This window comes from Homo sapiens, chromosome 1 (assembly GCF_000001405.40).
Source record: "Homo sapiens chromosome 1, GRCh38.p14 Primary Assembly".
Taxonomy (NCBI): Eukaryota; Metazoa; Chordata; class Mammalia; order Primates; family Hominidae; genus Homo; species Homo sapiens.
This window is the reverse complement of record NC_000001.11, coordinates 157,417,461-157,440,495: the sequence shown is the minus strand read 5'-3', so window position 1 is coordinate 157,440,495 and position 23,035 is coordinate 157,417,461. Positions and strand designations below refer to the sequence as shown.

At 43.1% G+C, this 23,035-nt stretch overlaps 1 annotated feature.

The window, feature by feature from the left end:
• Positions 18,472-18,973: an enhancer, noted in NCBI's record as "NANOG hESC enhancer chr1:157391313-157391814 (GRCh37/hg19 assembly coordinates)". NCBI's record gives its function as "activates a minimal SCP1, AML or CMV promoter by ChIP-STARR-seq in primed H9 embryonic stem cells {active_cell/tissue: H9 hESC(primed)}" and the evidence as "EXISTENCE:reporter gene assay evidence [ECO:0000049][PMID:30033119]".

Below are 23,035 nucleotides of genomic sequence, written 5' to 3'. Positions count from 1 at the left end.
AGAAAAATCCATTTTCTAAGGAGAAACTCAAGCCAACTGCAGAAATTTGCATAAGTAATAAAGAGCTAAATGTTAATCACCAAAACAATGAGGAAAATGCCTCCAGGGCATGTCAGAGGCCTTCAAGGCAGACCCTCCCATCACAAACATGGAGACCTAGGAGAAAAAAGTTTCCTGGGCCAAGCCCTGGGCACCCCTGCTCTGCGCAGCCTTGGAATATGGTGCCCTGCATCCCAGCCACTCCAGCTGTGGCTAAAAAGGGCCAGGGTACAGCTCAGACCCTTGTTTCAGAGGGCACAAGCCCCAAGCCTTGGTAGCTTCAACGTGGTGTTGCACCTGCAAGTGTACAGAAGACAAGAATTGAGTTTTGGGAACCTCCACCTAGATTTCACAGGATGTATGAAAATGCCTGGATGTTCAGGCAGAAGTCTGCTGCAGGGTTTCAGACCTCATGAAGAACCTCTGCTAGGGCAGTGCAAAAGAGAAATGTGGGGTTGGAGCCCCCACACAGAGTCACCACTGGAGCAGTGCCTAGTGGAGCTGTGAGAAGACAGCCCCCATCCTACAGACCCCATAATGGTAGATCCACCGACAACTTGAGCTGAGTGCCTGGAAAAGCCACAGACACTCAATGCCAGCTGTGAAAGGAAGTGAGAGTGAGATTGTACCCTGCAAAGCTACACGAATGGAGCTACCCAAGGCTGCAAGAGCTCACCTCTTGCATCAGTGTGACCTGGATAGGAGACATGGAGTTAAAGGAGATCATTTTTGAACTTTATTGTTTAATGACTGCCCTATTGGATTTTGAACTTCCATGTGGCCCGTAGCCCCTTTGTTTTGGCCTATTTCTCCAATTTGAAATGGGTGTATTTACCCGATGCCTGTACCCACTTTGTATTTAGGAAGTAACTACTTCTTTTTGACTTTACAGGCTCACAGGCACAAGGGACTTGCCTTGTATCAGATGAAACTTTGGACTTGGACTTTTGGGTTGATGCTGGAATGAGCTAAGACTTTCCAGGACTATTGAAAAGGCATGACTGTGTTTTGAAATGTGAGGACATGAGAATTGAGAGAAGCCAGAGGCAGAATTATATGGTTTGGCTGTGACCCCACCCAAACGTCATCTTGAATTGGAGTTTCCATAATCCCCACATGTCATAGGAGAAACCTGGTGGAAGGTAATTGAATGATGGGGGCAGTTATGCCCATGCTGTTCTTGTGATAGTGAATGAGTTTTCACAAGATCTGATGGTTCTATTAGGAGCTTTTTCCCCTTTCCTCAGCACTTCTTTTTTCTGCTGCCTTGTGAGGAAGGTGCCTTCCTTCCCCATCACCTTCTGCCATGATTGTAAGTTTCCTGAGGCTTTCCCAGCCATGTGGAACTGTGAGTCAATTAAACTTCTTTTCCTTATAAATTACACACTTTTGGGTATTTCTTTGTAGCAGAGTAAGAACCAACTGGATACATTATATGTAAAAGTTTTTAACTTTATATTATTTAAATACATTTTTAACTCCACCTTTATTACTACCACAAACTGCCTGGCTTGTTTTTCCTTCCTCTTCAGGATTAGCATTTCTGTAGATCAGAGAGCTCTTGCAGCCTTGCTTAGAGAGGTGTCCTATTACTGGTGAATTGCTTTAAGCCTCTAAAGAATTGCTAGTTTCTGTGCCAACAAATATGTTTTAAAGCTTGGCAGAAGATAGAAAGGTTTATTGTGTCTTGGAAAATTGACAAACCACAGAAAGATGAAATAAAGTCTCATCAAATTTTCTGGGTCATTGTGCCCAGATTTATGGTCATGCATTATTTTGACTGTTTCAGTGTGGATGTTTGGGAATGAGATTAACATTTAAATCAATAGACTGAATAGAGCAGATTGTCCTTCATAATGTTGGGAGGCCTCATTCAGTCAACTGAAGCCCTTGATAGAACAAAAGGCTGACCACCCTGAGCAAGAAAACTTCCCTAGGAGATTGCCTTCAGACTTTATCTGCAACACTGCCCCTTCCTGGTTTTCTAGCACTCTGCCTTTAGACTCAAACTTCAAGTATTTCCTGATTCTCCAGCCTCATGGCCTCCCATAACATATTTTGAATTCACCAAGCCTCCACAGTCACATGAGCCAATTCTGAAAATGTGGTTTGTGTGTGTGTGTGTGTGTATACTATCGGTTCTGTTTCTCTAGAAAACCTGACTACCAATACAAGGATTTCTTAAAATCTAGGAATGGGTCACTGGAAGGAAATTCACCAGGAGTCCTACTTCCTCCTGCACTTCTAACACCCCTACCAAGTGGCTGTGCCTGTGTATATATATATGCTTCACCACTGACAGGAATCTCACTGTGTCCCAAAGCTTCTATTCCTTTTTTGGATGACTCAAACTATAGAAAGCTCTTTTAATATAATGAGTCCAAACCTGCCATCCTGTATCTTCCTCAACTGATATTAGTTTTTATCTGGAGGTCAATCCTTACGAATATGACTCCTCATTTATGCAATGGCTATTCAGAGCCGAGTAGAGGTAAGTACCTGATTTGTCTCCTTCTGCAGTTTTTTGGCACATGTACCAACTATGGTGTCTCTGGATCTCCCCACCTCTTATGGTCTTGGGGGCTGGGAAGGTTGGATATTTCTGGAGATGGTGAGCAACAACACACTGCACCCCCAATCTCCTGGGAAAGAAGTGTCCTCAGAACTGGGCACACTCATATTTTGGCATTATGTTAAGCCCAACAGACTCCTCCAAAATCTGAGGTGACAGTTTTCTGGTCCTTGAAGTTTCTGACCACACAGATAAGGCTGGCATTGAGCTGCATCAACTCAGGCAGGCTCACAGTCAGGGTCCAGGGGTTGGCGGCTGATCTCGATATCCCACTCTGCTCCAGCTTCTTGGGGAGGCCCTTGCTCTCCCAGGTCACATTCAAATCCTTTGCGGTCCCTAGGGCCTTGCCCTCCATGGTGATGTTGCACCAGTCTGCTGTGATGGTTGGTGACTCAGCCAGGGTTGGGGAAAAAAGGGAACAAAATTATTATTGCATTTGAAGAGTACGTTCTTTGTCTATGATCTCAATAGTTTCAGAGCACCCTGCTAGGCAGACAGGGCATTTTGCAGCCAAAGAAACTGAAGCTTGGAGAAGTGAAACAGTTACACAAAGTCAAATACTGTGGAAGCCCCAGATTTAGAGAAGGACACATAGCCAAGCCTCTCAGCTCTCCCATTATCTGTACACTTTGCCCAAACCACACAGCTGGACTTATTTTCATTTGTTCTTCACACTTATCCTCAAATACTTCACAAACCCTGAAGCACTTGGAGGGTACAATGAACCCTCTTGGGGAATAATTTCCACGTGCAAAATCTGCAAAGCCATTTCTGGAAACTAGTTATAAGACTCGTAAGCTCTCATTTATACTGGTAGCATAAACAGTTAAGATTTGAAAATAAGAGGAAGATAATTCATTTGGAGAAAGCTATGCCATGAATCCCCTCCCACCCACGGTGCCTGTCCCTCATCTCAAGCCTGGTGAGAGGGGTGTCAGTGAGACCATTCAGAGAGTTTGATGCATGTGCATTTGAGTCCTCAATAGGGATGCAAGTTTCCCCACTGGCAGTCCTGACTCTGCAGCCATAGGCTGTTTCAGCAGCAACTCCCTCTTTGAGTTTCCCAGGTATGAGTCAGGTACCTGTCCAGTGCATCCCCAAGCTGCATCAAAGAACCAGGGACCAAATAGAAAAAAAAATGGCCACCCTGATTGCATTACCTGTGAGAAGGTAGGTGGCAGATCCTCAGCATACGGAGGGAGGGAGCTCCAAGAAACCTTTGAAAATGCTACATGACAGAAGGGGTAAACCTAAATTTTATCAAGCCTAGAGCACCAACTGCTTGTTGACCGCAATAGGGCTAGTCAACAGAGGGTTTTCTTGTTACCTCCTCCAAGAGTTGCATCCACTTTACATGAAGTCTTTTCAAGCATTCTAATTTTCATCCATGGTCAGAAGACCCAGACATTGTCTTCTCCACTGCCTAACTATTTTACACACTCATGTGCCTATGTTTAGGTCCTCACCCAATTGTGCCAAGAGACCCATGCCCTTTTGTCAATTCTTATCATGAGTAAATTGAGGGAACCTCAGTCACCTTAGGCATTTGGTGGACTGGCTTCTCATAGTCATCTTTGCCCTCCGACTTTCAAAATTTCCACACAGTAGGGTCAATAAACAGATTAGCTTAACACCCGTCAATATTGGAGAACTTGCAGTAATTTCCATCTTCCTAGATAGAGTACCTCCACCTGCCACAACTCTCCTTTCATGTCTGTGGACTAGACTGCCTAAGGCCACAAGATTAGAAGCTAGGGTATTTTACTAAATAGTTTAAGATGTAGCTATTTTCATTAAACCAATATTAATGTTTTATTTATTAAAAAATTACACATGCAAAGATTATTTTTTGGGCTGAGTTATAGTTTTGTAGCCTTTTTGCCAAATTTTGACACCTTATAGTATTTGGCAGAGATAAGTATGAAATTGCTTGATTAAAAATGCAAACAAAAATGCATGCTGGCAACTTTTAAGACATTTCTAATTTTACTATACCAGTAAGTTTAAAAAATTAAAGTCACGTGAACTGAATGATCACAGCTTTTACCTTTTCCTTAAAATTTTTTGATTTAAGTGTATTGTTCTTAGGCCTATTAATTAAATCATTTTAAGTAGATATTGCATACCTAACACATATATAGCCACACAGACAACCAGAAGAAGATTCGGTAGTTATAAGATCTTTCTTTTGCTAATTTCCCAATTGGATTTTGGCCTTTGGGTGAGGCCCTTTAAGAACGGGGCCAGGAAAACAGTTTTTAGGGCCAAACAAGTACAGCTGGAAGACAAAGACAAATTTTGAGAGGTACTTATTTACCTTTAATTCCAGGGGTTCCATAAGGAAAACAGATTTTTTCCCAAATGGGATTTGTGGTGACTTTTCTGTTTTCCCAAGAAGTCCCAGGCCACCAGAAGTCATTTTAGGGTTTTTTATACATGCAAAATAGTGGCAAGACAGAGTGGAGAAAAGTAATTCAGTTAACTGGGAAAAAACCTTTTCCAGGAAAACAAGATTGGTGAAGAGAAAAACATAAAGGCCTTTGAATATACTTACAACTTTGATCTGCGACAAATCAGACATGGAGAAAGGGACATGAACGCAAGCAATGTATTCAGCCCCAGCCACTTCCTGGAAAGGAAGAATGAGTTAAAAGGAGTTTTGGAGGAGAGAGAGACCTGGGGAGGGTTTTTATTAAGAAAGATTTTATGAGAGCTGGAAGCTTGACACAGTGAGGGATGGGATTTAAGGTAGAAGTAGAAGAAAGCCTGAACATAGAGAACCTCTTGCCATTTGCCATTCCTGGTTATAAAGTTGTCAAGGTTCCTGAGAATTTGCAAGTTAAAGGTGCCATTTTTGGGCCATCGGCTGTCATTATCTAATGTGTATTGGGGTTGGGCTGTGTTGTAATAAAAGACTAAATGCTTAAGCCAAGTTTGGTGAGGTTGTGAAGGAGACAGCACAGTGGAGAGGGTATAGGAATGTGGGATTGTTTGGCACCCATGTGGACTTGTGAGAAGAAGCTGAGGGTGTCTCTTTTTGTTTTAGGCATCCCCAGACAAAAGACAGAGACTCGAAATCCTTTCTCTAAAGAGGACAGTCAAGCTGAGAAGAAATTGGGTGTCCCCCCAGATTTCCTCTAGCTTAGTCCCACTGGTCCTTCAAGGACTGGGACAGCAGATCTGACTTTCCCAGGTACTGAGATAAAGCCAGGGGAGGGCAGATCTTATTATTCAGCTGGATTAATGTCTGATGTTGGGTGTTCTGGTTAGAATCGGCAAAGGGTCCTTCAGGCTGGAGCTGCACAAGGAAGAGAGAAAGAGAGAAAGAAGGAGAAGGGAAGATAAGGAGGAGGAGGGGAGAGAGTGAAATACCCATTGTGGGTGGTTAGAGGTGGATTCCTGAGATTTGAGGGTTTAGAGAACTCGCTGGGGAGTAGCCCCGGCCAGAGCCTCACAGTCCCCTTTAGATTAGTTGTCCTCCTCACCCAAATTGCTTGAAAAGTGAAGTGAGAGAAAAGATGAGGCAGATGGCCAGAGACCCTCAGGATCCAGGACTTAACTTAGGATGAGCTGCCATTGCCTATTGCTTCCTGGGTTGCAAGAGAGCCTCTGCCATCAGCACCCGTCCCAGGTTTCAGCACCAAATGTAAGACTTAAAGAAAGAGGAAAGAAACACAAAATGCAGCTGACAGTTAAAGACAGGTTTACTTTAGATAAAACATGAGAGGGGTGTCTGGCTGATTTTTGGTTTTGAGTGCTTTTGTTTTTTTACAGACTAAGAGTATATATTGGTTTTAGGGTGAAGGGGCTTATTGCAAGCTTGGAATGTTTTTGTGTGAGGGAGAAGTTTTATAGAGGGGTTGGAATGTCTCTGGAAGGAGGGGAGGTTATTTTGGGGCAGACATCTTTCCAGCAGGAGTGGGGTTATTTGGGGACTGACATCTTCCTGGCCAGAGTGGGGTTATCTTGGGACTAGCATGTCTCTGGTTGAGGAAGAGTTTGAAATGTTTTTGGTTGGAGATGTTATTTGTTGTTTATGATCATGTTGATCTTAGCCATTAGACTGATGCCCTTTGGATTTAGGCAGTTTTTGTTTAAGGTGAATTTTAAAATGAGGTGCTTGTTCATGATGGTGATGCTCCTGCTTTGTCACCTTTATCCCAAGTGAATAGCAATACAGATATAATAAGCAAATGATATAGTAAACAAATGATACAGTAAGCAAATGATATAATAAGCAAATTGCAATGAGAAGGGGAAAAGGGAAAAGATATCTACATATTTACATTCAACAGATTATGGAGGATTCATCACCAGACTGGAAAGCAACAGCCTGGGCTCCAGAGTTGGACACTACACTCACCAGACTATGGAGGATTCATTATCAGCCCAAAAAGCAGCAGCCTGGGCTCCAGAGTTGACCACTACACTCACCAGACTATGGAAGATTCATCACCAGACTGGGAAGCAACAGCCTGGGCTCCAGAGTCGGTCACTCATCCGTGCACAGACAAGGAGAGGGCTCATGAAGCTTTGACACAGCCTGGGACCCTAGCTCTTCTTGTAACGAGTTGTTCGGCATGAGGCCCAGTCATGAGGGCCCTTTGCGACTGGGATCAAGGAACACAAAAAGGTCAACTTGTTTTTGTGATTGTCTGTTGTTTTTCAATAACTAAGGTATAGGAATAGATTGAAATAGAGATTCCTCTGAAACAGTGCTGAATGAATGCATCAAGGGGCTCATACAACCTGTTCTGGAACTTGATGACTTTTGTTTGTGTCCATGTTCAATTGAGTTCAAATTTAGTATTTAACTTTTCCTCCACATTTGGCCTCAATTTGATACTCAATTGTAGGAAAATACCCTTACAGATACATGGGAAGGCATAGTTGTTATAGATTACAGATACAGGGCAAGCACAGGAGGATTAAAGACATAATTAATAAAAAACTATACCTACCACGGCCAATGCCAATGCCAGTTAGACAGCCAGTCCAAGATGGGGTGCTGATGGTTAGATTCTAACTGTTTTACTTGTTTTTGCATATCTTGGGCAAGGACAGTAATATTGTGAGAATCATCAGGAATATACACACAACATTCAGTATGCAGTAAGGTGCAAACCCCTCCTTGGGCTGTGGTAAGCATAGGTAATGCCATTCAATTTTGTAACACAACAGTATGAAGCTGAGCAAATTCATCCAATAAAAACATAAGCCCAGTGCTACTATCATTAAGAGCTTTTTCTACATGTAAGCTTAATATTTTAATTTGTTGTTGTAGCAGGATTATACCAGTGGCAGGGGAGAATACTGTGATAGGGTACCACCACCAGGGAGTCCAGTGCATTTGTAACCAGCGAGGTTTGTAAGCATCTAGATTACTGGGGAGGGGGATATTATCCTGGACCGTGAATGCAATTAATGGCCACCCCTAAGTGCATGTCTCCATCCAATGTCGGGGCAGGTATCACCACCCATAGGATCCGCATACCCAGAGGGCCCCCAGGAGACAGCAATGGTTTTACTGTAATTATAGTGTATATGGTGTTACTAAAGTAGGAAAGAGATTGTGTTTCACTGGGGGAGAAATTGACAATTGACAATTGTCTGGTGGGAGAAACCCCAGAGTGGCATTGGAGGAGCCATTTAAGGCCTCCAAACAAAGTGGGGCTATATGGAGTCCAGCTACCAGCACAGCAGGCTCCCAGTATAAGCCTTTCCAGGCATATTGGGCAGCATAACAAAGCTTTTGATGCAAGGCATCAAAAGGGTGGAGTTCACCTTTCACCTGACTTGGGCAAAGATAGATTGCTTGGTTTGGTCAAAGGATGTCCGGGTTGGATTGCAAGTGTTGTTTTTGTGGCCCCATTGGTAGTGACATAGCCATTCGGAAATGTTGGCAGGGATGACTCTCCAGGGTAGTCCATTTCCTGCAGCCTCTCGCAATTCAACTCTTAGCCAGCAGTGGTTACTCAGTTGATGAACTCGTTTTCGTCCTCAGACATGACTCTCTAGGTAGTCATTACTAGCAGACAGGTTATTCTCTGTAGTAACAAAAACAGAGAGAAACATGATTTTTTTTTCCTTCTTCTTTAGAAAATTGTATTACCTCTTCATTTTCTGCCCCCATAGCTATAAGATCACCAGCCCTAGGGGGCGGGATCTGTTGGGTGCTTTACCCATACTTTGGCCCCAGGACTTAAATGTCCACTTAAGTCCCAGGACTTAAGCCCACTCCGGTGGACCCAAATCTCCAGTTGTATATGTTGTTTCTATTGGGGCAGAAATTTCCTCTGGGGTAAACTGCTGACAGGGTGCTACCAGTAGCTGGGCAATCTGCATGTGCAGCTTTATGGCAAAAGAATCTGAGGTAGTATTGTATGATTTTTAACTCTCCCCAGTAATCACTATCAATTATACCATCATACACTGTAATGCCTCTCACTGCAAGGCTTGAACGTGTTGTAATCCATTCATCCGCATTCAAGTTTGCAGTTGTGGTGGCAATTTTGGCCTGTTGATCTGCCTGTGATTAAACAGTCTTCTAAGAGAAAGCAGAGATGCATGAGCATCAATATGGAAAACAGTGATAATGGTGGTGTGCCCCAGGATTTAGATATCTTCCTAGTATTCCTAGTATTGTTTTCCCCAAACCTCTTTATTCCCAGTTAATCATTTGTTTTGTTTACTGCCAATCCAGGCAGTAAGACCATTTGCTACTGACCAAGAGTTGGTATACAAGTGAAAAATCCCTCTGGCCTCCTCCTGAATAGCTCAGAGGATGGCTACCAATTCAGCCAGCTGGTTGCTCCCACCCCTTTCTTCATCAGAAATGCGTATTTTTTTTAACAGGATTATAAGCCATGGCCTTCTAGCATTGGGTCCCACCAACATATTTGGTGGATCCATCAATAAACCAAAAATGTTTCTGATCCTTTGGGCTTAGTTCTTTAAAGTATTTTTCCCATTGGATGGGGAAAGATCCCCATCTGCAGGACTTGCTCAGTGGTTTCCTGAGTTGGCAAATTTTGTAAAAACAATACCCCCTTTGGTCCTGGCTTAGCCCTATCTTGTATATACCATTTCCGTTTTATAAAGCTACTTTTTTGAGCGTGCCCTGTTCAATGGGTTTTGGGGGAGCTCATGACCCAAGTCATAATAAGAATTTCAGGCCTCATAAAGACATCATGGTTGAAGCAGAGGTGCTCTGTTTCCAGCAAAGCCCAACAGCAAGCTAACAGTTGCTTTTCAGAAGGGTTATAAGCTTTGCCGGCCTCTGGCAGCTTCCAGATCCAAAACCCCAAGGCACCCTCTTCCCATCTTGTTTTTGCCAAGGGCTCCAATCAGCGTGTTGATCTAGGACAGTTACTTGCAGTTACGGCCCATCCTGTAAGGGCCATAGATCCAGGGCCAGTTGCACCGCTTGTTTAGCTTGTTCAAAGCCATGTTCTCTTTCTTTCCCCAGTGAAAGCCATAGTGTTTTCTATAGAGTGACTGCATGAAGAGCTTGTAAAATGTTACTCAAGTGGGAAATATGATGTCTCCAGAATCCAAACAAGCCAATAAATTTTGGGCCTCCTTTTTAGTGGTAGGTGTTGCAAATCTAGTATTTTAGCCTTAGTCTTTGGTAAAATTGACTGTTTCCCTGCATTCCATAGGATGCCAAGGAACTTTACAGTTTGTGCAGGTCCTTGAATTTTACTAGGGTTAATTTCCCATTCTTGAGATAGGAGCTGGGTTTTTATCTGCTCCAAGTCCCGGCTAACTAATTCTTCAGTTTTACCCTGACCTGGCAACTCGGACAGCTGCTTTTTTTCAGCAATAAGCTGATAGCTTTGAGGCTGATGAGTCAAGACATAGGTCTGGCATTGGGTCAGGACCAGTCTGCAAGTCAGATTAGCATTTTCCTTTTCCAGCTTACATTTCTCTTGTAGCAACCAGTCCCTACCTTGATATATTAACTTATAAGGAGTAAGCAAGCCCCATCCCCACCAGGAAATTCCCTCAGTGTCCCCTTTACCAACTGGGATTCCCTGCAGTGCCTCATGCACAGCCAGTGGTTTATAATGCACTAATTTAGATTCCCAGTTTTCACAAAGGCCAGTTCCCCTGGACCATATAATCGCCCAGAGGGGAGAACTAGGGGAGTTCCCATCCGGGATATGGGAAGTCCTTGAGCCTCCAGCTCTGTTCTTTCGGCTAAAAAATGACATACTTTTATTTTTGAATCCTGTTCATGACACCAAAAAATGTTCTGTGCAGGAAACATGCAAAGGGGAAAGAAAAGACACACACAATACCTTTAAGGGTAAACAGCCTTTATCCCAAGTATATGGCAATACGGATTTAATAAGCAAATGATATAATAAGATAATTGCAATGGGAAGGGAAGAAGGAAAAAGATATAAATATATATTCACCAGATTATAGAGGAATCATCACCAGATGGGGAAGCAATAGCCTGGGCTCCAGAGTCAGCCACCCATCTGTGCACAGAACAAGGAGAGGTTTCATGAAGCTTTGGTGTGGCCTGGGACCCTAGGTCTTTTTGTAAGTTGTTCGGCATGAGGCCCAGTCATGAGGGCCCCTTGAGACTGGGCTCAAGGAACACAAAAAGGTCAACTTGGTTTTGTAATTGTCTGTTGTTTTTCAATAACTAACATATAGGAATAGATTGAAATAGAGATTCCTCTGGAACAGTGCTGGATGAATGCATCAAGGGGCTTACACACCTGTTGGTGACCATTGTTTGTGTCCACTTTCAATTGTGTATTTAACTTTTCCTCCACAGCATGTAGGAAAGGGGAAAATGCCAAAGATCATCTTCCAGCCTAACAAAAAAATTTACAAGTAACCTATACGTTTCAGAAACCAATGAGGTTCATTTAAATATTATTAGTAGGTTAAAAGTTATTCAGTAAGAAAGCTAGCCAGGGTACAGATGATTTTGTATAGATTAAAGGGTATTATAACAGGACATAGCAACAGCACTGAAACCCAAGTGTCTTGTGCATTACTGTCCTGAATTCCTGGCTTCTCTGTCAAAAATGACAGCCTGGACTCCACTCATCACACCACCCTAAGCAGCAGGACGGGGAATCAAATAAGGGCAGCCTCTTCCTTTCAGGACATGTCCCAGGGGCATCTCAAAACACTTCCACTAACAATGCATCCGTTCCTGGATTTCTATGAGTTTTTTTCTAAGTGGAAATTTAGTTGTATTGATGTAGTTTGGACATTTTGTCCCCTCATGTTGAAATGTGACCTGCAATGTTGGAGGTGGGCCTAGTAGAAGGTGTTTGGGTCATGGGGGTGGATTCCTCATGAATGGCTTGGTGTCCTTCTTGCAGTAATGAGTGAGTTCTTGCTCTGAGGTCATGTGAGATCTGCTTGTTTAACAGTGTGGCGTCTCCCTCACCCGTCTTGCTCCCTCTCTCACCATGTAACATTCTAGCTCCTCTTTACCTTCCACCATGATTGGAAGCTTCCTGAGGCTTCACCAGGAGCAGATGCCACTGCCATGCTTCTGTACAGCCTGCAGAATTATGAGCCATAAATAAAGCTCTTTTCTTTATAAATTAACCAGCCTCAGGTATTATTCCTTTCTAACAATGACAATGAACCACACAAACACTTTAGTTATAACGAGATAATATGCGACTCATCTCTTTAAACCTGCTTGCTAATTAATGTACTGGGGTTCACAAATAGGTCTTTCCAATGTTAAACCATTCTTTGATTCCAAGGATGAATCCAATTTGGTTTGGGGGCTGGTTTTTGTTTTTGTTTTTTTGGTTTTTTTTAAATATCTAAACATTACTAGACTTGGTTTCTTAGTATTTTGTTTACCATTGTTATCTCTATGTTCATAAGTGAGATTGAACTATCATTTTCCTTTCTCTTCCTTTCCTGTTGTACTGGATTTTGTAGCAATTTTAAACAAACTTCATCAAATGCATTGCAGAATATTCCTTCTTTCTCATTCTTCTTAATAGTTTGTATGAGATTTGGTTTATCTGTTGCTTGAACGTTGGTGGGAGTGAGTATGACCGACTCTCTCACCTCCTTCTACTCTGAAAATCTCACCTTCTCAGTGAGGCCTCCTTGGTTTCTGTTTCAAAGAGCAATGTGCCAGTCCTCCCCTCACTCCCAGAATTCCTGATCCTCCTTACCTTGCTCTAATTTTATTTTTTCCATAACGACTCACACTTTTTACATACTGTATATTTTTATTACATGAAATTTTATCTATCTGTCACCTCCTCAACTAGAATATATATTCTAGGAGAGCAGGTGCTCTCTGTTGTGAGCACTGATGTATCCCAAAATCCTAGAAGGATATCAAATGCAGGTGTATCTGTAGGATAGTTTACACTACTTGCTATAACAACCACCCTGGAATCTTGGAATTTTAGAAAATAAGAATTTATTTCCTAATTACATCATTTCTGTTACATTGAGCAGCTCTCCCTGGCAGTTTACGTTCAAGCAGTGACTTGGCACACAGGCTCCTTCCATTACCTGACAATACCACACAGGAGTCCTTTGCTTGAAGCCACTGGGACAAGGAAAGTCAGGCATTTCTTTTGTGTCTGACCCTGGATCTTAAGAAACCACATTCCATTGATCAAAATTCAATCACATAGTTCACCAAACTGCAGAAGAGTCTGGAGAGAATGTAATCTTCCAATGTGGCCAGGAAAATACAAAGGAAATCATTTGATGAACATTACCTCTACCCTCATAGATGTTCAAGTAAAAACTGCTGAGTGAATTGAATTAATTTACTTCTGTAACTGTTTGGGTCTGCTTTGGTCTTGTTCTTCCTCAGGTAGACGTGTAATTTGTAATTTTTAAAATAATAGTACTTTGTGGTTATATTTCTTCTTGGGACTGTATTAGTAGGTTATATTTTTCTAGAAAATTATTCACTAAACTGTTCAAGTATATTACCCTGAGTTATTTATAGTATTAGCATTCTTTTTGTAATCTCTGCTGCCTGTATTGCTGTGTTCTGTTTTTTATTTCTAAATTGTATTTCAGTGGGGTGTTAAAGTTCCCCACTATTACTGTATGGGAGTCTAAGTCTCTTTGACAGTCTCTAGGAACTTGTTTTATGAATCTGGGTGCTCCTGTATTGGGTGCCTATATTTTTAGGATAGTTAGTTCTTCTTGTTGCATTGATTCCTTTACCATTATGTAATACCCTTCTTCTTTTTTTTTTTCTTATCTTTCTTGGCTAAAAGTCTGTTTTATCAGAGACTAGGATTGCAACCCCTGCCTTTTTTGTTGTTGTTGTTTTCCATTTGCTTGGCAAGTATTTCTCCATCACGTTACTTTGAACCTATGTGTGTCACATGGGTCTCCTAAATACAGCACACCAATGAGTCTTGACTCTTTATCCAATTTGCCTGTCTGTGTCTTTTAATTGGGCATTTAGCACTGGGGCATTTGGCCCACTTACATTTAAGGTTAATATTGTTATGTGTGAATTTGACCCTGTCATCATGGTGCTAGCTGGTTATTTTGCACATTAGTTGAGCCAGTTTCTTCATAGTGTCATTGGTCTTTATATTTTGGTGTGTTTTTGCAGTAGCTGGTACTGGTTTTTCCTTTCCATATTTACTGCTTCCTTCAGGAGCTCTTGTAAGGCAGGCCTGGTGGTGGCAAAATCCCTCAGCATTTGCTTGTCTGTTAAGGATTTTATTTCTCCTTTGCTTATGAAGCTTAGTTTGGCGGATATGAAATTCTGGGGTGAAAATTTTTTTCTTTAAGAGTGTTGAATATTGGCCCCCACTCTCTTCTGGCTTGTAGGGTTTCTGCAGAGAGATTGCTGTTAGTCTGATGGGGTTCATTTGCAGATAACCTACCTTTCTCTCTGGCTGCGCTTAACATTTTTTTCCTTTGTTTCAACCAGTCTGGTGATTATGTGTCTTGGGGCTTCTCTTCTCAAGAAATATCTTCGTTGTGTTCTCTATATTTTCTGAATTTGAATGTTGGTCTGTATTGCTAGGTTGGGGAAGTGCACCTGCATGATATCCTGAAGTGTGTTGTCCAACTTGGTTCCATTCTCCCTGTCACTTTCAGGTACACCAGTCCATCGTAGGTTTGGCCTTTTCACATAGTCCCATATTTCTTGGAGGCCCTGTTCATTCCTTTTTATTCTTTTTTCTCTAATCTTGTCTTCCCACCTTATTTCAGTTAGTTGATCTTCAATCTCTGATATCCTTTCTTTTGCTTGATTGATTCAGCTTTTGATACTTGTGTATGTTTCATGAAGTTCACGTGCTGTGTTTTTCAGCCCCATCAGGTCATTTATGTTCTTCTCTAAACTGGTTATTCTATTTAGCAGTTCCTGTAACCTTTTATCAAAGTTCTTAGCTTCCTTAAATTGAGTGAGAACATGCTCCTTTAGCTCAGAGGAGTTTGTTATTACCCACCTTCTAAAGCCTACTCCTGTTAATTTGTCAAACTCATTCTCCATTCAGTTTAGTGCCTTTGCTGGAGAGGAGTTACAATCATTTGGAGGAGAAGAGGCATTCTGGTTTTTGGAATTTTTAGCCTTTTTTTGCTGATTTTTCCTCATCTTTGTGGATTTATCTAACTTTGATCTTTGAGGCTGATGACCTTTAGAGGGGGGTTTTTTGGGGGTTGCTTTTAGTTGATGTTGATGTTGATGTTATTGCTTTCTGTTTGTTAGTTTTTCTTCTAACAGTCAGGCCCCTCTTCTGCAGGTCTGCTGGAATTTGCTGGAGGTCTACTCCAGACCCTGTTTGCCTGAAGTGGAGGTTGCAGAAAAGCAAAGATTGCTGCCTGCTCCTTCCTCTGGAAGCTTTGTTCCAGAGGTGCACCCACGTGATGCTAGCTGGCACTCTCCTGTATGAAGTGTCTGTTGACCCCTGCTGAGGGGTGTCTCCCAGTCAGGAGGCACCCGGGTCAGGGACCTACTTGAGGTGGCAGTGTGTCCCTTAGCAGAGCTTGAGCGCTGTGCTGGGAGATCCGTGGCTCTCTTCAGAGCCAGCAGGTAGAGACATTTAGGTCTGCTAAAGCTTCACCTACAGCAGCTCCTTCCCCTAGTGTCTCTGTGCAATGGAGATGGGAGTTTTATCTATAAGCCCCTGACTAGGGCTGCTGTCTTTCTTCCAGAGATGTCCTGCCCAGTGAGGAGGAATCTAGAGAGGCAGTCTAGCCACAGCCACTTTGCTGCACTGTGGTGAGTTCCACCCAGTCCGAATTTCTCAGTCTCCTTAATGCTGTCAGGGGAAAACTGCCTACTCAAGCCACAGTAATGGCGGACGCCCCTCCCCTCACCAAACTCGATCATCCCAGTTTGACTTTAGACTGCTGTGCTGCCAGTGAGAATTTCAAGTCAGTGGTTCTTAGCTTGCTGGGCTCCATGGGAGTGGGACCCACTGAGCAAGACCACTTGGCTCCCTGGCTTCAGCCCCCTTTCCAGGGGAGTGAACAGTCCTGTCTCGCTGGGATTCCAGGCACTGCTGGGGTATGAGAAAAAAAACTCCTGCAGCTAGCATGGTGACTGTCCAAACAGCCGCCCAATATCGTGCTTGAAATCCAGAGCCCTGGTGATGTAGGCACATGAGGATATCTCTTGGTCTGCGGGTTGCAAAAACCATGGGAAAAGCATACTGTTTGGGCCAGATAGCACAGTCCCTCACACCTTCCCTTGGCTGGGGGAGGGAGGGCCCTGGCCCCTTGCACTTCCATGGTGAGGCAACACCCCACCATGCTTCTGCTCACCTCCATGGGCAGCAGTCGTTGTCCATCCAGTCCCAATGAGATGAACTGAGTACCTCAGTTGCAAATGCAGAAATCACCTGCCTTCTGCATTGGTCTCACTGGAAGCTGTAGACCAATGCTTTTCCTATTCAGCCATCTTGCCAGATGCCCAATGTTGTTCCTTTTCATGGCTGCATAGTATTCCATGGTGTATATGTACCACAGTTTCTTTATCCAGTCTATCACTGATGGGCATTTGTGTAGATTCCATGTCTTTGTTATTGTGAATAGTGCTGCAATAAACATATGCATGCATGTATCTTTATAATAGAATGATTTATATTCCTTTGGGTATATACCCAGTAATGTGATTGCTGGGTGAAATGGTACTTCCTGTTCTATGTCTTTGAGGAATTGCCACACTGTCTTCCACAATGGTCGAACTAATTTACATTCCCATCAAAAGTGTAAAAGCATCCCTGTTTCTCTGCAACCTTGCCAGCATCTGTTTTTTCTTGACTTTTTAATGATCACCATTCTGACTGGTCTGAGACAATATCTCATTGTCGTTTTGATCTGCATTTCCCTAATGATCAACAATGTTGAGCTTTTTTTCATATGTTTGTTGGCCACGTGTGTGTTTTTTTAAGAAGTGACTGTTCATACACTTTTCCCACTTTTTAATGGGGTTGCTTTTTTTCTTATAAATTTGCTTAAGTTCCTTATAGATTCTGGATATTAGACCTTTGTCAGATGGATAGATTGCAAAAATTTTCTCCCAGTTCGTAGGTTGTGTGTTCTCTCTGATGATAGTTTCATTTGCTGTGCAGAAGCTCTTTAGTTAAATTAGATCCCATTTGTCAATTTTTGCTTCGTTGAGGCCTTCTTTGCATATTTGTCATTGAAGGGCAGCTGGATAAAATGCACCCTGCCTCACTTCCTGGTGATAAGTGGTGCTGAGGGAGGTAGAGCAGGAAGGAAGGAGAAAGAGCGGGGAACCAGGAGGAGGATGCAGTTTGAAATGGGGAAGGAGGGCCAAGGTAGACTCAACTGAGTAGAGAGCATTCCTGCAAAGACCTGAAATAGGACAGGAAATGAGACAGGCAAACACCTGGAGGAAGAGAATTCTAGGCACAATCAAAGGCCTTGAGGCAGGAGCATGCCTGGTCTGTTGAAGGAAATAGAAAAAACCCCAGTGTCTTAGAGTAGATTGAGGAAAGAGGGGAGCATGGGCTATGAGGTCAGACGGTGCAGGGCCTTGCAGGTAAAGTGGGAGCCACGGGAAAGTTCTGAGCTGAGGAATAATGTGACGGAACTGATGTTTTGTAAAGATCATTTGCCGCTATTTTGAAACTAAACATTAGGAGGCTAAAAATAGGCACAGGGATACTGTGGGTCTACTGTAATAATCCAGGTGAGAGATGGAGGTCATATGGTTAAGTGGCAAACAGTTATACCATAAAAATATACATTGAATAACAAGATATTGTTCACTGACTGATTGTAGGGTGTGAGAAAAAGAACAAAGTCAAGGATGGCACCAAGATTTTGTGGCTGCCACAAATGGAGTAATCGATGTGACATTTATTAGAATAGGAAGACTGTGTGGGAAGCATATTTGGGTTGTTTGAAAGTAAAGCTGGAGATTCCTGTTATACATCCTACTGGAGCTGTCAAGTAAGGAGTTAGATATTCACAATGTGGCATCCATAGGAGGGATCTGGCTGTAAATTTCAGAGTAGCAAATGTATTTAAAACCTTGAGACAGTATGACAACTTTATTAGAAAACTAATAAGTTTTCTGTTTTCATCTTAATAAATCGGCACTAACTTAGGCAGGCAGAACAGAACAAATTTATTATCTTACCACACTGGAGGTCAGAAGTCTGGAACAAGCCTATTTGGAATACAATCAATGTGTCACTAGGCTATGTTCCTTTCTGGAGATTCCTGGGGAGAATCTATTTCCTGCTCATCCTGGCTATTGCCAGAATTTATCTCTTTGAGCTTATAAGACTGAGATCCTCATTTTCCTGCTGGCTGTAAACTGAGATCCTTTCTTAGCTTCTAGAGCTTACCACATTTCCTTGGCTTGAGGGCCCCTTACTCCATCTTCAAGGCCACCAACAGTGGGACAAGTCCTCACCTTATATGTCCCTGGCCTACTTTTATTTCTCTTCTTCTTCCACCTTTTAGGACTCATGTGATTATACTGAGCCCACCCAGATAATCTAAGATAATCTACATCTCAAGGCTCTTCAACTTGATCACATCTGCGAAGTTCTCTTTGCCGTGTAAGGTAATATTGTCATATGGTTCAGGGATTACTGCATAGCTACAATCTCAGAAAGAAAATGAAAGTGGGTAATGAAGACAGATCACCTGGGGATATTCCTGAATAGAGATGTTAGAGAGATAAGACAGAAACTGGTAAAGGAAACAAAGGAGCAGCCCCTAAGTAGGAGGAAAAGAATGGTGAGTGTTGATTGCAAGGTGAAGACAGTCTCAAGGAAGGATATGTTAATTGCTGCTGAGACATCGACAAAGATGGGGACTGAACATTGACCACTGGATTTAGCAACATGGAGTTTCCTGCTGACCTGGACCTGAGCAGTTTCAATGGAGTGGTGGGGGCAATGCATGACAGAAGAGAATTCAAGACAGATTAAAAAAAAAAAAAAGTTATACCAATGGTTAATGTGCACATGAAAACACATGAAAAGATGTTCAACAATATTAGTATTTGGGATTTTCATTTCATTTGGGAAATGAAAATAAAAAGCACAATGTGTTACCACTTCACACACACTCAGAAGGCAATAATCAAAGAAATGGACAATAACAAGAGTTGGGCAGGATTTGAAGATACCCTCACACATCGCTGGTGAAATGTAAAATGGCATAGGTGAAGGTGAAAAAAACTGAAATAATGAGAGGAAGATGGAATACAAGACACTTTATGACTTTGTTCCAATGGAACAAACTGGCTGGTTGGGCATCTGGAATAAATAAGAAGGAGTCAAATATGAGCAAAATTATGGTTCATTTTGGATGCAAATCATGACTCCATCACTTACACTGAAGAGAAATTGCATGACTTCTCTGGATTTTAGTTTCACCATGTGCACAGTGATGGAGGTTTATGCCTTACAGAATTGTAGAAACTTTAAATGAGAGACTCATGTAAAACCTACTGAATGACATTATGAACAAAAATTTCATCAGCTGAAGGTTATTCGAGGATGTGGATGATGCTATCTCTGACATGGACCATGGATGGGGGGAGCCTTAGATAAAGACCACTCTGAATGTCTCGTCTGCATTTGAGTGTAATGTCCCTTATGCCATGTCTTCTACCCAATCAGGGCCCTACTGCCACTTAAGGGGTAATTTCTCTTTCAATCGTTAGTTGTTCCAGCACCAAGGAGCTCAGCCTGAGTTGAGGCACCTCAGTCAGGAGGCCAGGATCCTTGGGAGATTGACAACAGGAGGATACTCACATCTGAATACTCCAGGATTCCAAGGGTGTCTTAGTCTATTTGGCTACTATAACAAGATACCTTAGATGTGTAAATCACTGAGCGATTTGTATGTAATAGAAATATGTTTCTCACAGTCTGGAGGCTAAGTCTAATATAAAGTCACCATAGATTCAGCATCTGGTAAGGCAGATTCAGGGTCTCTTCAGCTCACCTTCAGCTCCATAGATGGCATCTTATTGTGTCATCATCACATGGCAGAGGGGGAAACACTGCACTCAGTGGTGAAAGGGGAGAACAGTATGTCCTCGCATGATGGAAGGTGGGAACACAGTGCCCTTACATGGCGGAAGGTGGGAACACCATGTCCTCACATTATGGAAGCGGGCAACACTGTGTCCTCACATGGTAGAAGGGGCAATACCATTTCCTCACACAATAGAAGGCAGGAACACTGTGTCCTCACATGGTGGAAGGGGCGATACCATGTCCTCACATGGTGGAAGGCAGGAACACCATGTCCTCATATGGTAGAAGGAGAAACACCATGTCCTCACCTGGTAGAAGCAGGGAATGCCGTGTCCTCACATGGTGGTGGCAAAAACACCTTGTCCTCACATGGTGGAAGGAGGAACACCATGTTGTCACATGGTAAAAGTGGGGAACACTGTGTCTTCACATGATGGAAGGGGGAAAACTGTGTACTCACATAGCAGAAGGAGGAACACTGTGTCCTCACGTGACAGAAGAGGGGACCATTGTGTCCTGACATGATGGAAGGGGGAACACCATGTCCTCAGATGGTGGAAGGAGGAACACTGTGCTCTCACATGTTTGAAGGGGTACAAGAGCAAAAGGGGTGACACTGTCCTCAAACCATTTTATAAGAGTACTAATCTCATTCGTGGAGCCTAATTATTTCCCCAAGCCCACTCTTCATGCTTTTGCATTGAGGATTAAGTTCCAACATGAAACGTCAAAACCATAGCAAGGGTCTTCTAAGTCACTATTTCATGAAGAAGAAAAAAAGGGGGCTTTGGAATCATCAGTGTTGGATCTAAGCCTTTGCCCCATCTCCGTGGTCTGGGTCTTGGCCAGCCTGCCCAGACCACGCAGTTGGGTGGTGTCAGAGCTTTGTCCGTTGGTGCCATCCAATCACTCCACGCAGCCTTCTCAATTTTTTAATACTTATCATTTAATACACTTTATTTTAGAGCAGTTTTAGGTATACAGAAAAATTGCACCGAAAGTACAGAGCTCACCACCATCTACTTCTAATGCTGGTGACCAATACCAACCCTAGTGGATTCTTATAAGAATTAAAAGAAACAATATTTGCAAAGTGCCTGGGACAAAAACTGGTTCAAAACAGCCTCAAAAGCCCTGTTCTTCTTCTTTTTTTATTTTATTTGTTTGTTTTGTTTGTTGGTTTTTGTTTTTTTTTTTTGTTTTTTTTTGTTTTTTTTTTGCTGCCGCTGGTACTGTGGGAAGGTAGGCTGCTGATCACATCTTACGCTGCCCCAGGTCTAATGGACACTGATACGCAGTCATGGCCAGTCACCTGGGAAGCCAGTGAGAAGATTTGCACACCCTCAGCTTTCTGTGCACCCTAAATGGGAAGAGGGTAGAAATGAAGCCCTACTGTGAATACTCTTTGTCTTCTCTCACCCATCCACCATCCTAAGCAATACTTAGGATCCTAAGCAAGTACTTAGGATTATTACCTAGTGCTCAATCTCTTAACAGGGACTCTTTTCAGACCTTTGTTTTCTGTGGTTGACGTGAGTGAAACCACGAACCCAAGGATCTAGGCCACTAGACATGCTGCAGCACCTCGTGGTACTAGAGTTAGCCCATCTCTGCATAAAAGCTGGGATTCAAACAGGAGGCAGAGGTTGCAAGAAGGTGAGGACTCCTCAGGAGGGAAGAACCACCCATATACCATGGTGGAAGCATGGCCAGGTTTACAATAAGAAGCTGATAAGGGAGTAAGGAAGTCTCCAACTAGGACTTCAGGACATGTATAGTCGAGGAAGTTCATTGTGTCCACCCCTGTTTCCAGGTAGAGCCACACCAGAGAGTCTATCAGCAGCTCCTGTGCTGCATCTCCCTCTGCTGAGCAGAAGGATGGGAGATGGGAGAAAGGTGGTCCAGAACCTTTACACCAAGAGGTGCTTGTCTTCTTGATCCTGTCCTCCCACAGTCCCACACCCTCTTGAGAGAGCCCAGGTTGGTACTGCAGGAAGACTCATGACCAACCCAGGGCAAACTGTGGCAGGGACCATACATAGTGCCCAAGGTGTTCTGGAAAGTCATATATGGGAGATGTCATTTTTAAACCTTTAGGATTCATAAAGCTCATAGAACAGGCACCTTGGGAAGGGCTTTGAGCAGCACGCTAGAATTTCAGCAGGTGGGAGTGAGGGTGAGGAGCACAGAGAGAAAACTAATTTCAGGCAGAGGGATGCAAGTGAGCAGAGAAGTGGTTGACCTAGGGTTTGGGCCAGCATGGCTGAGGGAGACTGAGGGTCAGAATAAGAAGAGGCTGGAGAGGGCTGGGTTAGATCTTCTCAATAGCTTCACCCATCAGAGCCCAAGTAGCCCTCACCAAGGGGGCATGGAAGGATACTTCACATCTGTTCGTACAACCAAGTGCGCTATCCTAGGAGAAGGGAAGAGCTGAGGCTGTTTTCTAAGACAATCCCCACCTGTGGCCTCTTAGGGTCACTCCCTGAGACACAGAGGTTGGGAAGGTTTTGAGATGATAGACATTTCTATTTCCACTCTACAGGAATTTGAGTTTGAATCCACAGGCTGAGGCTGAAAATTAGGCTCAGATTAGCACAGGTGATGAGAAAGGTGGCTTTGGTTCAGTTGTATAATGTGCACTAGACAGTCCTCCCAACATGCACGCACACACACACACACACACACACACTGCCTGATACCCCCAAGAGACCCCTACACAAAATCTGCAAAAGATGCCATGGCCTGTTCCTTTGCGGGTTTCTATCCACCCATGCTGTCCTCAAACTCAGCATCCGGAAAACAGATCCTATCTCCCTCCTCTGCAGCATAGTCAACACTTCTGCACTGTTCCCATGTCTGCCTTGTGTCCTCAGAAGTATACACACCAGTGACATGGCAGAGGTGGTCGGAATTCACCACCTGCTCAATCAGACAGGCTCCTCTTGGGAAGGCTTCT